The sequence below is a fragment of the Homo sapiens genome, chromosome 8 (assembly GCF_000001405.40).
Source record: "Homo sapiens chromosome 8, GRCh38.p14 Primary Assembly".
NCBI lineage: Eukaryota > Metazoa > Chordata > Mammalia > Primates > Hominidae > Homo > Homo sapiens.
In genome coordinates, this window is record NC_000008.11 from 106,675,974 (window position 1) to 106,694,377 (window position 18,404).

At 32.2% G+C, this 18,404-nt stretch overlaps 1 protein-coding gene across 17 annotated transcripts in view; it reads left to right on the plus strand.

Moving 5' to 3' along the window:
* OXR1 (oxidation resistance 1) overlaps positions 1–18,404 on the plus strand; it is a 482,517-nt gene that overhangs the window by 405,796 nt on the left and 58,317 nt on the right. For 15 of the 17 annotated variants that reach the window (XR_001745547.2, XR_007060735.1, NM_018002.3 and 12 more), the window contains 4 exons: positions 3,237–3,319; positions 7,226–7,333; positions 8,273–8,386; positions 16,755–16,904. Coding sequence is in view for 15 of the 17 variants with exons in the window: in NM_018002.3 (NP_060472.2) it covers positions 3,237–3,319; positions 7,226–7,333; positions 8,273–8,386; positions 16,755–16,904 (455 nt within the window). In the remaining 2 variants the exon portion in view is untranslated. Of the gene's footprint in view, positions 1–3,236; positions 3,320–7,225; positions 7,334–8,272; positions 8,387–16,754; positions 16,905–18,404 lie in introns of those variants that run through there. The other 2 variants (XM_047421921.1, XM_047421922.1) reach the window with 1 other exon arrangement.

The window sequence follows — 18,404 nt, forward strand, 5'->3', positions numbered from 1 at the left end:
GTTGTGTGCATATATATATCTAGGATAGTTAGATCTTACGAATTGAACCCTTTAGCATTATGTAATGCCCTTCTTTGTCTTTTTTGATCTTTGTTGGTTTAAAGTCTTAGTTTAAAACTAGATTTAAATCCTAGTTTTGTCAGAAACTAGAATTGCAACCTCTGCTTTTTTCTGTTTTCCATTTGATTGGCGGATTTTTCTGCGTACCTTTATTTTGAGCCTATGTCTGTCATTGCATGTGAGATGGATCTCTTGAAGGCAGCATATCAATGTTCTTGGTGTCTTATCCAGCTTGCCACTCCGTCTTTTCATTGGGACATTTAGCCCACTTACATTTAAGGTTAGTATTGTTATGTGTGGATTTTATCCTGTCATGATGTTAGCTGGTTATTTTGCAGGCTTGTGTATGTGATGGTTTTATAATGTCCCTGGTCTGTGTACTTCATTGTGTTTTTGTAGTGTCTGGTAATGGTCTTTCCTTTCCATATTTTAGGGTTCTTTTAAGGCAGTTCTGATGCTAACCAGTACTCTTGGCATTTGCTCTTATGGAAAGGATCTTATTTCTCCTTCCCTTATATAGCTTAGTTTGGCCAGATGTGAAATTCTGGGTTGGAATTTTTTTTAAGAATGATGAATATTGGCCCTCAATCTCTTCTGGCTTGTAGGGTTTCAGCTGAGAGGTCTGCTGTTAGTCTGATGGACTTCCCTTTGTAGGTGACCTGGCCTTTTTCTCTAGCTGCTCTCAAATGTTGTGATTATTTGATTGTACTTTCATATTGATGGAAGAAAACAAATAGTTTATTTTATGTGCTTTGGTATTTAGATCTGTGAATAAACATTTTAATATTAATTATTAAAATTTAGAACTGTTTTTATAATATGTAATTATTGCATAATATTTTATAATTTTTAATTAGTAAAGAGAATATTTTCCATTTGTTTTTCAAACTTTAAAGTGTAGAAAGTTAGTACATTAGTTTTCTTGCCCTGAACTGCATTCTGTGGTGAGCTTTTGAAAATTACAGAGCAATTGCAAACTTGCAAACATGTTTAATGAATTATTGGGATATTATGAAACACAGATCGAAAAGCTATTAGGCAAAGTAAATACAAACTAACGGTTACTCCTAAAATCAATTAAGGAAGGGTATATTATTAGTTAAAGGTAATCTGTAATTGTATATTGCATTGCTTGAGAAGTTTAAATTGCAAGTTTAATTTGCTATTCAAAGAAATCATTTAAAAATTATTTAAAACATAAATTATTCAAAAATAAATCGAATTTTATTTTAATACATTTTCAGTTGTTTAAAATAAAAATAAATTCTTTAAAACTTATTTTATCTTAAAATAGTTTTAATGTTTGCATTTTCTCATTAGAGAAGCAAATTTAAATATAAACTATTCAGTGTAGAAGAATTAGAATACTTTGATAAGCAAAAATAATATTCTTTATAAAAATTCTACCATATTGCATTGCCACCAGGAATGCAGAAGAATATCTCATTTCCTACTGTCAAACAGTATGTGACCAAACTTCTTTTGAGTTTTTACCAACCCGATAGGTGTGAAATGATATTTCAGTATAGTTTAAATTTGCATTTATCTAATTATGAGTGAGATTGAACAACATTATTACATGTTTAAGGACATTTTTACATCCTCTTGTGAATTGTCTGATTATATCTTTTGTGCATATTTTCACCTGCATTATTTTTTCCCTAGTTTTTAAGAGTTCTTTAAATATTTAGGATACAAAAGTAGAATATGTGTATGTATGCGCACGCGTGTGTGTGTGTGTGTATCTCTGCATACTATTTTTCCTAGAGTTGTAATGGATGAACCATAATTCTTTCTCTACTTTTCTTTATGGAAAATTAATGGCAGTTCATAATAGTTTTGGTAGTTCAAAGTATAGTTCAAGTTGTTGCTTCAGAACATTACTTTATTAGATGCTTGCCATGTGTCAGGCCCCTAGTTAGGCACTGAGGAGGCTTTGTGGAAGAAAGGCAATGTTTTGGAGGTTACAATTTAGTGGAAGGGATTTAAACCCAAATATTAACTTAACACTGTGTCAGATGCTGTGAAGGAGACATAAAGATGCTATGTGACTAATAACAGGGACTTGGGTTAGCTGGGTGATCAGGAAGGTTTTAGGATAGTTTTTTAAAGCATTGCAGAGGTAATTGTCCTTTTTGGGGATTTTGATATTATTATTATTTTTTAGTGCTTGTTTAGAACCATTCACCCGACAGCTGAGATGATTAGGTCAACATAAACTCTTGTATGGTCAAAATGCCATTTAAGTTTAGATAGAGGGAGAACAATGAAATAGATATTTTCTAGATTATATGGTCTTAGGTTGAACCATAAATTTTCTTTGAAAACTATAGTTTTTAATTTTGGTAAATTTTGAGGGTAAAGTAAATGTAGCATTTTGCCATGTTTACTATCTTATTTAATTTTGTGATTTATTTAGTTTTTTAGATTTCATTTTAATAATTTTTATGTTTAGGTAGGAGTGGTGTTTTATTAATTCAGTGTTGTTATTACATGAAGTATAGATGAAAAGGTTAACACTAATACAAAATTTAAAGGGAAGCAGTTTCGCTAATCTTGATGATAATGAAACATTCAAGGAAGTCTTGATAAGCAAATGAAAAATATTAATAATTGGCATTCAATCTGAAAGTAAATGTTCAAATGTATGTTTCTATATGAAAGCACACCTTGATTTACTTCATGGCATGTTAATATGAAAGTTCATAATTTAATCCCATAGAGAAGACTATTTTTCATTATGACTTGTAGAAAAATTTTTTCCTGTGAGAACTAATGTTACAATTTCTTATTTGGAAAATAATGATATATATCTTGAAAGATGTATTTTAAAAATATATAATGTATCTTAAAATGTGTTGGTATTATAATCAGGTTAAATCTGTTGAAATAAATTGTAATTTAGTTTTTAATGACTTCCTTTCTGTTGACAATTATGTTTTGCGTTGACTTGCAATTATTCTATTGGTTCATACTAGTTAAGTTCCTAAAGCAAGCAAGTAGGAAGTTCAGTTCCTTTTTTTTGACAGTTGCTTGATTTTTACAGCAGAGCATCCCAGGGAGTAAGCTGTATTACTAGTAAATTAGACATCTGCCCAAAGAGCTCTATTCAGTAGTCCTTGACATTACTCTGAAAGAAAGATGAATTTAATAGGAATTTTGCCTTTTTTTCCCAGACACTGGCCAAAAGAAGACCCTAGACAAGAAAGATGGAAGACGAATGTCTTTTCAGAAACCTAAAGGGACTATTGAGTATACTGTAAGTTATTTGCTTTCGAAAAAGCTATTTTTCTTTGTAAGAGTCTTCTTTAAGACATTCTCTGTTTATACTATAAATAAGACAAGCATTGTTAATTGCCTTATTTTTAAAAATCTGTATTTCACTTTGGATAATTGTTTTATTTTTTAGTTGTTGTTTTTTTCTTTAAAGAGAAATTTTACTGAGATATAAAGGTAGTTATCCTAGAAAATTTAATTTAATATAGATGATAGTTTACTGAGAGAGTTCCCATGGGCCAATAATTTTTATTAGGTTAGGCTTTTAGGAAAATTTTTAGTTCTTTAGAAATGTGATCTTCATTATATTCGCAGCAGTGCTAGTGATAGTTATAATGGCAGATGGGATACATAAAAGAAAAGTTGATATTAATCTTCCAGTATAACCTTCCACATTAAATCATTTGTATTTATTTATAGCTAACTCCCTTTAGCTCTAAACATTGAGCTTTTTTTTTTTTTTCTGTATTCTTGAAATGAACTTCAAATCTTCCTGCAGTCAGCTGGCTTTTCACATTTCTGGTTACTCTGGGAAACTGAAGTGAGAAATCAGCTTTGGTATATGGTATGCTGCATATTTGATTGAATGTAAAGATTGTTTATTTGGATAATGTTAACGTGTTGTAAAGCACTTTTAACTGAGCTTAATTTTGTTATTCTGTGTTTTTCTAACATAACTGTATTAAGGAGAACAGCAATTTTAAACATTAATTTAGCATTTGTATCATTATGAAACCGTCCAGTCTTGGTTTGACTCTTATTTTCCATGCATCTTTAAAATTGAACAAATTATCAAAATTCTAATTTATACTCTATTTTGATATACCATTCATATATAGCGGACAGTGTGAGATTTTAAATATTTTTAAAAGGAATCAGATAATTTAGGATGAAATAAAATTTACTAATATCAAGATAATCTCACAGCATATTTTAAACTCAAATTGCGTGTGTTTGTACCTTCTCTGCATAATTGAGAAAATAAGTTCAAATAAGTTTTTTATAGGTAACCTTTAAAATTTCTTCGTCTTTACAATTCTGCAGTGCCAATATGAAAAATTTAGATATATACATGTTTTTATCATGTTTATTGTGTTTCTTCAGCCTAAGAAATCATGTCACTCATAAATTCTAGAAAAATTCTTGGTAATTATCTTTGATTGCCATTTTCTCCTCCTTCCTCTATTTTGTTTCTCCAGAACTCTAATTTTTTATTGAAACTAATTGTACTACATTTTGCTATCATTATGCTTTGTTGACCTTGCTATTATTTTGATTGTATCTTCTGTCTGCTTTGCTGGGTGTTTGCCTCTTCTTAATTCCCAATGTGAGTGGTCCCTTGTTTCTTTTTGCTTTTCTATTGACATTCTATTACTTGGAGTGCTTAAGAACTTTATAAACTACGTGGAGTGAGACCCAAACTTTTTTTCTATCCCTCCCTTTCTAGTTGCTTGCATTTCCTACTATCACTTCATACTAAACAAATTATGGAAGCCTCTTACCAATTCTTCTTCCTCCATCCTTCCACAATTCCTGATTTTCTCATTTCCGTTCCCTTTCAGTTTGTTATTCATTCAGGTTGCAGTCTTTAGAGTCAGCATCAGTTTGCTCATTCACATTTGCTTCCCTGACCTACTGCTACTGCTGTCACCACAACTCCATTCAATCCATGAATGTCTTCTCTTGAGTCTTAGTTGAAATCTTGTACCTTAATTTCTTTCTTTACATTTTTATTACTTTAAACCTTATCTTTGTTTTTCTGCATCCTTTCTCTTTCTTGTTCCAGTAATCCTAGCCCTGATGCCAGTAATATGAGATGCCACTTGGGCTGTTTTGTTACCTTCATCATCTCATTTAATAGAATCACTGTGAGAATAAAATGTGTTATTATTAATTATGAAAGTACTTGGTAAACTTACAGATTTTACTGCAAAATATCATTTGTTTACAGAGACCTTTTATATATATTATCTCGGTAACATAGGTTTTATATCAGTACATTGTGTAGATGGGGAAGTTTGCATAGAAGGATGTAGGCAGAACTAGATTATTATTGTATTAACCCAAATATTTGGCATAAATTTGGTTTTATAAAACCATTAAGGAAAATATGTATATTATTGTTTTACATACACAAACAAATGCACACGCACCTGCTTTTCCTGACTTTTGAAATCTTCTATAACCTAATTCTAAATGCCTCTTTTTTTATTTTATTTTATTTTGTTTTCTGGAGACAGGGTCTTGCTTTGTCGCCCAGGCTGGGGTGCAGTGGTGCTATCACAGCTCACTGCAGCCTCAACTTCCCAGGCTCAAGTGATCCTCCCACCTCAGCTTCCTGAGTAGCTGGGACTACAGGCATGCATCACCACGCCCAGCTAATTTTTGTATTTTTTGTCAAGATGGGATTTTGCCATGTTGTCCAAGCTGGTCTTGGACTCCTGGGCTCAAGTGATCCACCTGCCTCAGCCTTCCAAAATGCTGGAATTACAGGCATGACCCACCATGTCTGACCTCTGAATGCCTCTTTATCGTTTTTAGAGACTTAACTCCATGTAATCACCTTCCCAAAAATTTGTGCTTCATGAGTCTACTCTGGATGGTTTAGGAGGAAGAGGACAGTATCCCACAAATATGTTATGCTTTTCTGTCTCTTAACTATGTCAGTTCTGTTATCTTCACTTTGAAAGTTCATTCCTTTCTCTCTACTTTTCAAATTCCCAACCCTTCTTCAAGGCCCAGCTTTAAATCATTTCTTTTCTGTAGTCTTTTCTGGAAAATTTGGATTACATGGTGCTTTTATTCATACTCAAAACTTCTATTGCATTCATTATTCCATTTTAAATTGTTCATCTTTTGCATAACCTTTTCTATCTTAGTTTCCAACTAGATTGTAAATTCCTTGTGCAAAATGACTTTTAGTTGCACTTATTTGTGTTTTCTTCAGAGCTCTCTCTTTTTTTTTTTTTTTTTTTTTGAGACAGAGTCTCGCCCTGTCGCCCAGACTGGAGTGCAGTGGCGCAATCTCGGCTCACTGCAAGCTCGGCCTCCTGGGTTCACGCCATTCTCCTGCCTCAGCCTCCCGAGTAGCTGGGACTACAGGCGCCGCCACCACACTCTGCTCATTTTTTTTTTTTTTTAATAGAGACGGGGTTTCACCGTGTTAGCCAGGATGTTCTCGATCTCCTGACCTCGTGATCCACCTGCCTCGGCCTCTCAAAGTGCTGGGATTACAGGTGTGAGCCACCGTGCCCGGCCTTCTTTAGAGCGCTCTTAATGCCTTGTGTAATGGGGACTTTAAGTGGTTATATTATATTGGCCAAGTGACATTTTCTTTTAGGGTAATTGATGAAATCTCATTATTTATGATTTCTACACATATGATCATGGAAACGTACGAATGATTCAGAACTAAATAACTCAACTTTAGTTCAAATATTTTTCTAATTTATATGTGCAATGACAGAATATATGCATAAAGATCATTTTGAGTTTAATACAGGTGTACTTTGCAAAAATGAAATTAGTATGTTGCTAGAAGTCACATATATTTTAGAAACTATTCAAAGGAATAGTGTATTATTTTAAAACCTTTGTAAAATGAAAATAATCAGTTTTTGACTTTTAAATTATGTTTTGTATTTTGAAATTACTTGAAGTAGAGACCTACATGTAAATGTATTGTGATGAAGCCTTTACTCTGTATTGTAATAGATTAAGAGCATTTGCTAACAAAACACAGTGTTTCTTGACAGTTATTTTCAAAGATGACAATACCAGTTGTTAATCAAATGTAAGCTGGTCCCTAGATATATTAATGCTCATTAAATATTATAGTTTAGTTTTTCTGTTTTAAACATTGAAATAATTTATTTTTTCTTTTAAACAGGTTGAATCAAGGGATTCTTTGAATAGCATAGCCCTGAAGTTTGATACAACACCTAACGAACTTGTTCAATTAAATAAGTTATTCTCCCGAGCAGTTGTTACTGGACAGGTAGTATCTTTTTTTTAATGTGCTGATGTTTAGAAACATTAAACAGAAAGGCAGAAAGTATTTATTGTACTGTAGTTAATAATATAGAAAATTTGAGAATAATTTTATATGTGCTTTTAACAAATCATATTGGCCATGTAAGAGAAAATTAACTGTTTTATGTCTGTATTAGTTTCTTTTTTAATACATATTGAAAATAATTGTAGATTTTTCTTTTTAAATATAGTTACAAAGAGCTTTTTAAAATATTCAGAACAATATATGCATATGATAAAAAATTACTTTATCAAAGTAAGGCATCCCTCCATCTCAAACTTTCAGTTTCTTTTCCAGAAGCAACCAGTTGGCAGTTTGCATTTCTTTCAGGAATAATCTAGCCTACTTTTGTTGTTGTTGTTGTGTTTTAATTTAACTTTGATTCTTGGAAAGTGTTGTATTTAATCACAGTTCTAGTTCAGACTTTTTCACGCGTGCATGGTATTACATTGTATTGATATATCATACTTATTTAAAGCATTAGACTATTTCTACTCTTTTGCTAAGGTCAATAGTGCTGTAGTAAACATGCCTGTACACATCTGTTTTTCTTTAAATGTAAGTATTTCTGTAGGGTGAATTCTTAGAAGTAAAGTTACTATATCAGAGGATATGTGCACTTTAAATTTTGCTAGCTATTGCCAAATTGTCCTTTAGGAGTGACACCTCTATAGTGTATGACAATTAATGTTTCCTCACCCTATTCCAGCCGTATATATTATCAAATGTGTCTAAACTGATTTTAAAGGTTCTTTTTTAAAAATGTTTTTATATTCTTATAATTTGAAAATTTTTATGTTTTTCTGTTTAATTGGTAATTGTTAATAGTGCTTGCTTATAGAACACCATCTAATTATTAACACTTCATTTTAACTAAATCTTTGTGTGAATGTTTTCTTACAGGTTCTGTATGTTCCTGATCCTGAATATGTCTCCAGTGTTGAGAGCTCTCCATCTCTAAGCCCCGTAAGTCCTCTGTCACCAACATCATCTGAGGCTGAATTTGATAAGACCACTGTAAGTATCTCTGCTTTGCAAAGATGGCGATGAAGAAATCTCACTTTGTCTACATTGACTGTCTTGTTTTTTACATTCCATTTTGACTATGGTTAGAATGAAATATTTCCTTTTTATTTTGTTGCTTAAGTTTGTAAATCCCAGCTTTAAAAATAAGACATTCTTATGAAACCATATAGCTTAAATTGACTTACCTTTGTAGGTGGTGGTTGTGGGCCAAAAATATTCATCAACTCTTATTTTTTAAAGAACATATATAATTTAACTTACAAAGGAATCTTACCCAAAAAACATGACATTATCACAGTAGAGGAAGTTCATGTCCAATTTGATGTTTATTTCATCTATAAATAAATGAGTATATAGTACTTAGAACTCTTGAGTTTAATTTTGACACATTGCCTTTTAAAAAATAATTTATCATCTTAGTCATCCAAGAATTGACATAGTAGATTAATTTATCTAGCATTTCTAAGGAATGAGTGTTCTAATAACTTACATTTTACAAATGAACTTCAGGGAACTAAACTTCATTTAATAATTTTGATTAAAATCTTCTGAAAGGAATTATATATTATATATTTCTTTGCCTTTCATAGAATAAATTACATGATATTATTAATAACTATTTTTCTCCTTGCCTGGGAACTTTTTTCTGCATGTGTGTGTGTTTGTGTGTGTGAGAAAGAGAGAGAGAAATGAGGCCTTTTTCATTTATTTGATGGATATCTTCTTTATATAATTATGGCAATACTATGCTTTAGAATGCAGTCACATGAAAGGAATATATTACATTTGTTGTCATCATTGATAAGAATAAAAGTCAGGTTTTAATGGTAGGTATTACTTACCAAATGACACAATACCTTTTTGAACATAGCCATGCCATTTTCCCATGGGACTTACAAAGAGATGTACTCATAAGGGGCAATGACAAAGTAACTACGTAGCCTTAGGTTAATTTAGCCTGTGTTTCAAACCCTAAAGCAGAATGATGAAAATCTAAGCTGTAGCATCATGCCTGACTAGAAACCTGTGGGGTCTCTTCCTGTTCCTCGGCTTTAACCTAAATCTGCCTGTCTACTGGCTTTCTTGGAAGGTATAAGATCAAAGAAAACAAAATGTTGAAAGTTAAGGGAGCAACAAGGCCAGGCCTCAACCTGTGTGAAAATGTACCCCTTCTTACTTTTGCCATTTGACTGAAAGAGATGGAGAGGATAAAGTTATGTGAATGATCTTTTAATCCTCAGTGACTTAGCTACTGTCAAAGATGGACCAAAAAACTTCCTGTAATTTGGCCAGTGATATGAGTAAATTCTTTGTCCCTGGGATAGATTAAAAAAAAAAAAAAGAGGTGAGAGATTCCTTAAAGAACTAAAAGTACACCTACCATTTGATCCAGCAATCTCACTACTAGGTATCTACCCCGAGGAAAAGAAGTCATTATATAAAAAAGATACTTGCACATGCGTATATAGCAGCATAATTTGCAATTGCAAAAATAGGGAACCACCCCAAATGCCCATCAATCAACAAGTGGATAAGGAAAATGTGGTATATATATACCGTGGAATACTACTCAGTCATAAAAAGGAATGAAAGAATGGCATTTGCAGCAACCTGGATGGAATTGGAGACTCTTATTCTAAGTGAAGTAACTCAGGAATGGAAAACTAAACATCGCACGTACTCACCCATAAGTGGGAGCTAAGCTATGAGGATGCAAAGGCATAAGAATGATATAGTGGACTTTGGGGACTCAGGCAAAAGGGTGGGAGCAGGGTGAGAAGTAAAGGATTACACATTGGGTACAGTGTACACTGCTTAGGTGATGGGTGCACCAAAATCTCAGAAATCACCACTAAAGAACTTACTCCTGTAACCAGACACACCTGCTCCCTGAAAACATATTGAAATGGAAAATAATTAAAAAAAAAAAAAAAAGAGGTAAGAGAAGAGTTTGTAAACTTCTCTTTACATGGAATGATACTCTTTACCTGCCATCAAAGAGATTATGGGCAATAGTTAGAAATAATTCTTACAACAGTTGATTGTGTAAATTTTAGTTGTATTTTTTTTACCTAGGATTATATTCATTACCAGGCTCCAGGATAATATTTCTATGACTTTCTGCATATCTCAAGTGCCTATATTTCTATATTTCTAATTATTGGGTTTTATGTCTCCCATGCTGTATAAATCCCTTAGAAATAAGGATATTATGTTTTATTAGATATAGTTTACATTTTCATTACACTAATTAAAATAATGTCTATTAGTATTGTTATTATATGTTTTTCCCAGAAATTGTCAGTTTATATTACCAGCAACCACTGATAAATTTTTTGAATGTCCAGCTTAGTAGTGGTTTACTATGAAGCTAAAAATATGTTCCTGGCTTTGTCGGCATAAAGACTTTCATTGGTAATAATTCGTTTTCACTTAAAAATATTGCATTTTGAGAATTTCCATGGAAAACTATTTTTTCTTTATTTTTCACTTTTTTTTGTTCACATATGGAGGAAGAAATATAGAAGGAGATAGAACCAAAGTAATGGTAAAAATCATAAAAATAGCTAAAATGTAGTATTGCAACAGGTATAATTCTAAGCACTTTAAAAGTATTATTTATTTCTTATCTCAAATTTATGAGGTAGGCACTTGGCCTGGGTTTCTGTGTTTGTCCCTCCAGACTTACTCTGTATTCTCTAGTGTCCTTTGGGTGGTAGACTGCATCAGTGCACTCTCTCTTGCCCTTTTGCTTCTGTTGGTGGTTTTCTTTCTGGAGCAGTTGCAGAAGATAAGGGGGAAGGAAAGAGAGAATAAGATGGGGACATATTTATTCTCCTAGCTCCTTCCCTGTAAGGTTACTCCAGAGTGACCACATTCTTCAGCATCTCATCTTATCTTTTGTCAGCCCTTTCCACAGAGCCATCTCTAAATTTAGGTATCTGTTTCTCCCCCTTACCTCTTTAGGGATAGAGGAGTCTTCTGTTATTGTTCACCCTGGGTTTTTGTACACCATATGTACCTTTGTAAATAGTTCCATAATTAAATCCTCTTAAAATTATTCAGTTTCTACCGGGCATAGTGGCTCACGCTGGTAATCCCAGCACTTTGGGAGGCCGAGGCAGGCAGATCACTTGAGGTCAGGAGTTCAAGATTAGAGCGGCCAACATGGTGAAACCCATCTTTACTAAAAATACAAAAATTAGCCGGGTGTGGTGGCGGGCACTTGTAATTCCAGCCACTCAGGAGGCTGAGGTGGGAGAATCACGTGAACCCAGGAGTCGGGGGTTGCAGTGAGCCACGCCACTGCCCTTCAGCCTGGGTTACAGAGTGAGACTCTGTCTCAAAAAAAAAAAAAAGCTCAGTTTGATGTGCCATCTGTTTTTTCTAGTACCTGACCAATAAGTATTGTATCCATTTTATAGAGGAGGAAACAGAGGAAGAGAAGTTAATTATTTTGTGTTTAAGGTCACTCAGCTAGTAGCTAAGCTAAGATTCTAACCCAGATGGGCTTGGTTCGGAGCCCATATTTTTTATTACTACTTTATAGCTGGAAAATGATAACTCAGAAACACTACTCTTGCCCAATAAATAATTGGACCCAAAGAGTTAAGTAATATTTAATCATTATAAAAGTCGATATAGTAATAGCTACCATTTCGCACTATCATCTTCCTAAGATTCTTTAAATCTCTCATTTTTTGAATAAATATAGAAACCTGCTTTTGTTTTGTACACCTTTGGTTTTTCTCCTTTGTACTGTAAGTTCACCCATTATGCTAATGCCATTTTAGGGTAAAACTGTTAATGTGTTATATTCAGGATGAAGTTCAGTGGAAAAATGTTTAAAATAAGTAATATGAAAAAACGAAATAATTTTAAAGTACTTATGTTTATATTAATATACTCTATTGAAGGGTGGGATATGCAGATAGTCATATTCTCTTTAAGATAAAACATGGTATAATACTCTAATCAATCTAAAATATGATAAAAATAGAATATTAATAACACTTGAATTGGATACACATGATGATAAGACAATATAATTTTGAAAAAAAAATACTTTTAAGAGATTCTGAGGAAGGCCTAGGAAGTCCTAAAGGAGGAAAGAGGAAAAAGTATAAAATAGCAATAGAATGTAGGCATATTAAATCTTCCTTTTTAAGGATAGGCTGTGATTATACTGCTACAGTAGCTATTGTTTTTTTACTTAAAGAGTGCTTACTATGTATTTACTGTGTTCATTTCAGAATTTTAATCTTTAACACTTTAATAACATTTTAATTACTTTAGACTTTTAATTAATCTTTAACCCCATGAGGTAGGTACAATAATCATGATCTGTATTTTTAAAAATGAGGAAAGTAAGGCATAGAGAGAAGAATGATGGTTAGTAAGTGGTAGAACTGAGACTGAAAACCTGGCAGTCAAGGTCTAGATTCTGTGTTGTGTTCTTAACTACTTTTTGTACTGCCTAAGTAATGAAATGATGACTACTAGCAAGTGCAGGTACTCTATAACTGAGACATATGATCTAAATTAAATATATGTGTCACAATTTATAGGAACTAGGAAGTTTGTAGTAAAGAACTGTGTGGAAGTAATGCATGAAATTTTTGCTTGGCCAAAGCAAAAATAAAAATGTAGAAGATTTAGAAATGTTCTTTAATTACCTATATTAGTTTCCTAGTATTATCATAACAAAGGGTGACAAATTGGGTGGGTTACAACAAAAGAAATTTATTACCATACAGTTTTGGAGGCTGGAAGTCTGAATTCAGACTATTGGTACGACCATGCTCCTTTTGAAACTTGTAGAGGAGAATCATTTCTTGCCTCTTCTAACTGGTGTTTGCCAAGTATCATTGGCATTCCTTATCTTGTAAATATATCACCACTTTCTGCCTTCCTTGTGACAAGTGGCCATCTACTTCCTGTATGTATGTCTTCACATGGTGGTCTCTTCTTTATATAAGGAAAACAGTCAGATTAAGGGCCCACCCTACTCATGTATGACCTTACCTTAAATTAATAATTACATCTGAAAAATCCTATTTTCAAATAAGGTCACATTCTGAGATACTGGAGGTTAGGGCTTTAACATTATCATTTTGGGGGAGACAGTCAAACCATAACATTGCCTCATAAAATTATAATTATAGAGAATTTATATTATGGAGCTTTATTTATATTCTAGAATTTTATATTTTTTGTCTTTGAAGGAAAGGGGAAATTTAGAAAACTTTCTAATTCTAGTCAAGTAAGATTTTCTAAGAGATGTTTAGTTAATTTTCTTCATTTAAGATATGTTGAAGGGTTAAGTTAATTTCTCATAGGGTTTTGGGAAGCTTGTGAATATTTGTAAAATATTGTGAAAACTTTTTTAAAAACGTCTCTTTTTTAATCATGATAGTCACATAATTAATTGGCATCTTGAAGTGGTATGCCTGTATACCTGAAAATAGACATTAATTACAAGTAATAGCAGACATGCAAGAAATTAAAACAATTTTAGTTAGGAATATCAAAGTAGTTTGAAAAGGTTAAATATCGCCTGTGCTTCAGGAATTGCTTTCACATATGACATCCTTTAACAATTCACAAACATAACCTCTCTTTTCTCTCTGTGCATATATAGAATATATATTTTTTAACTTAAAATTAAAGACACTAATATCTATCATATACAATATTATATGTTATATATAAAACATGTTTTATCTCTTTTATAGAATATATAAATCGTAATTTTTTCTAAATTATGATTTTAACTTCAATGCTTTTAGACTTCAATGTTAATATAAATATATACAACTTATGTGATATATAACTTATATATTAAATGTAAGCTTATGTATTATAATAAAACTATAAATATCAATACCACTCAAATGTGTAAATAACACATAAATCATATATACTACATTCATATTATTACATATAATTTAGCTTTGATGCTTTTAAACCTATTTTAAATAACAACTTAGTAAGGAATTGTTTTTTAATATGTACTTTTTAATAGATTATACTGTAATTATACCTCGGTCTTATATTCTTAGAACAAAATTTTATGGTTAGTATCTGAAAAATTAAACTTTATAATAGGACTTAGTGTTTGCGAAGATTTTAGGAAACAAATATTTTATATAGAAGAAATCCCTGTATTTTTAACATCACAAGAAATGGGTAAATTACTAGATGAGAGTTTTTTTTTTTTTCCTAGATTCCAGATGGAAACATTATTTCCATAATTAGAATTAAAAATTGATCCCGATATTTTAATTTTATTATTTTATTCTGTATTTGATTTTAAACATTCTTAAGTTCTTGGTCCCAGGAAGTAGAGATTATTGAACATAATTTATAGACAGTAAATGGCAATCATCGTATATATTGGATTGAAAGAAAAATACAGCATACACTGCTTCAAAAGTAAATGTTTTCTTTAAAGGATATATAGTATATACGTTGCATGAAGTAAATACAAATGTTGGTATTTCTGTGCCTGTATGGATTTTCCTCCTCAATCTTCCTTTGCCCTACCTATGTGTTACTAGAGAACATTTCTACAAATTTTCAATCGCAAAAGAGGAAAAATACAATAAAGCCAAGGCAAGAAGGGAAGTGGACAGTTTGGAGTTGCTAATTCATTTATGGTAATGGTTTATAATAACATACAAATCATATTGTATAATATATTCTACAAAAAAAGATAACTCTAGGTGATTATTAAACTTTTTGTAAATCATTTGCCCTAGCAATGCTTTGCTTTTTTACATTTGAATATTTGGGGCAATAATGAGGCTAGATAGATAGATATAGATGTTTATATTTCTATATTTTTAAGGACCTTCTCTGGTGGCTAAAACAAAATTATGCAGGGAAGCATCAGCAAGCCATCAAATGAGCTGCAAAACCACCTCATTAATAATCACAGTTTAAAAATAGCATTCAAAACCATCTACATAGAGATACTAATACTTTGAATAGTGTACATTTATGTAAGTTACGGTGAGGTCTGGTAATTCCTCTGAACAACTTTGATCTTTTTTGAAAGTAATCTCCTTTTTTGTGCTTTGCTTTGAGCATTTGCTAATCTCATATTCTTTTTAAAAGAATTACATTGACAAATTGGTATTGCTATAGATACTGAGTTCAGACTTTCAGGTAACCTCAGAGATCATATATTGTTCAAAAAGGCATATCTTCATTTAAGGAAAGCATATGACAATGTGCACATATATATACATATATATATATATATATATATACACACACATATATTTATATTTGTGTGTGACTAATGCGGTTAACTCAGTTTTGGGGGAATTGAGGAATCACAAAATTTGTTGATAGCTTTTTGCCAGTTTGCAGGGGACCCTCTTATAGCTCTGCATCAGCTATTTTTTTCTTAGCATATTTTTGAGTTGTTTGGTAGAAGATTTGAAAGGGAAGCGATACAATATTACAGTTAAGCTCACTGGTTTGTGTGTTGATAACATAGGTTTGCATCTTAGCTCCTTACTCATTTGTCAAGTTATTGAACTTGGCTAAGCTTAAGTTCAACAAAAAAAAACCAAGAAGCGTATATATGTGTGTGTGTGTCTATATATATACACACACACACACACACATATATATATACACATATATATATAACTATACCTCTAGTTTGTTTTTAAAAAATGTTTTAATACCATGTTGTTTCCATTTGTTTTTCCTTATAATTCTCTATTTTATTTTGACCATTCCAAAACATTCTGAGAAGCTGGTTCATAGGCTTCACTGTAAGAATGGTCAGTAGCACCAAAAAAGTTAAGAAACTTGTGATCTAGTGGAATGGGATTTATCAACTGTAGCTCGAGATTTAAAAGGCTATTCCAGTGAATGGGTTCTGCTGTATGCTTAGGTACTAAGGTAAGCTTTCCACCTTTTTACTGCTCCCAGCACCTGATGGATATTATATTATATGGTCTTATCAGAGTCAGTGGTTTAATTCAGGAGCATCTGAGTGTGTGTGCACGTGTGTGTATGTGTTGGGTGTGGGTACAAGAGATGTAGTGTTCACTGTTCTCCAGATTATTTTATTTTTTAAATTTATAGATATGTGTATCTCCCTATTAAAAATCACTATAAATGTAAGTTTAACCTGTGTTTGTGATCTTTATTGAATATGAAAATAGTGCCACTTTTGTCCTATAATTTGTACGTAAAAATATTTCGGGCTGACTTCCAGAATGCGGTGAAATGAAACAACACTTATTGGGGAAAGCTATTCATTTGACTTTTTAATAGTGTGCTCATTTTTATTTTGTTTTCTGCTTTTTTTTTTCTTTCCTTTAAAAAAAAAAAAAAGAATCCTGATGTCCATCCAACAGAAGCAACTCCCTCATCTACTTTCACTGGTATTCGACCTGCACGAGTTGTATCTTCAACTTCTGAGGAGGAGGAAGCATTTACTGAGAAATTTCTTAAAATTAATTGCAAATATATTACCAGTGGCAAGGTAAAGAATGACACTTTAGAGAAGACCTTTAATCATGCTTTAGTTATTACTAATGTATGATAGTTTGGCATTTACATTTTAAGTCATCAATGTCAGAAAATGCTTGAATATTATAGAAAGGTACTAGTGATACTATTATTTTGGGTTAGTATGGATGTTGCTTATAACTTAGAGTCTGGTGATCTGTTGTAATTGTTAAAAGTAATGGAATATAAATAAATTCACTAAGGCACAGCTAAGTTGCTGTTGGTAGGATATTTCAAAAGTGTGAATAAAATGACTGCTGCCAGGTACTGTGTGGAGTGTGAACTTCTGTATAACTAGTATAGCACACAAATAGGAAGATATCTAGTATTTATTGAGTACCTTCTATATGCCAGAGAGTATTTGAGGTATCTTAATTATTTTATCAATTCAAAACAATCTTGTGAAATAGGCAGTCATATTTCTTTTCCACAGGGAAAAACAAAACAGGAAGGGTTCATAGGAAAGGTTAATAGGTCCAAGATCTCTCTATAATGGCCAGAATTCAAACCTAGTCAGAATCTTTTTTTTTTTTTTTTTTTTTTGAGATGAAGTTTCGCTCTTATCAGCCAGGCTGGAGTGCAATGGCGTGATCTCGGCTCACTGCAACCTCTGCCTCCTGGGTTCAAGCAATTCTCCTGCCTGAGCCTCCTGAGTAGCTGGGATTATAGGCACTCGCCACCACATCTGGCTAACTTTTTGTATTTTTAGTAGAGACAGGGTTTCACCATGTTGGTCAGGCTGGTCTTAAACTCCTAACCTCAGGTGATCCACTTGCCTCGGCCTCCCAAAGTGCTGGGATTACAGGTGTGAGCCACCGCACCCAGCCCAGAATCTATTTTGTCTGCTTCACTTTGTTGCTTTTCTAAGCAAAAACTTCTAATCTGAAAAGAGAATATAGTAAAGTAATAGAGTTGGAAAATAAACTCCAGATTTTGCTCAAAAAATGTCTATAACATGATACTGCCTTTAGAATTCACACATGAGAACTATTTCTTTGAAGTATAATTCATAAATTTATGAGTATTTGAAACACATAATAAGCATTTAGTGGTATGCATTTTGCCCTAAATATTGTTTTAAATGTTGTGTTTTCATTTTCATTTACTTTAAAATATTTTCTCTTGATTTCTTCTTTGACCCATTTGAGAGTGTTTTATTTTTCTAGATAACTGTCTTTTACTAATTTCTAATTCGATTCTGTGTGATCAGAGAACACACTACTATTTGAAGGCTTTATTTAGACCTGTTTTATGGTCTAGAATATCGTATGTTTTAATAAATGTAATGTGTGCACTGTAAGAGACACATTATATTTGTGTTGGGTGGAATATTCCACAAGTGTCAATCAAATCAAATTGAGTGATAGTGTCCTGTATTTCTGATTTTCTGTCTGTCAGTTGTTGATAGAAGAATTTTGAACTATCTCACTGTTATTGTGGATTTATCTGTTTTTGCCTTTCAGTTTTATTTATC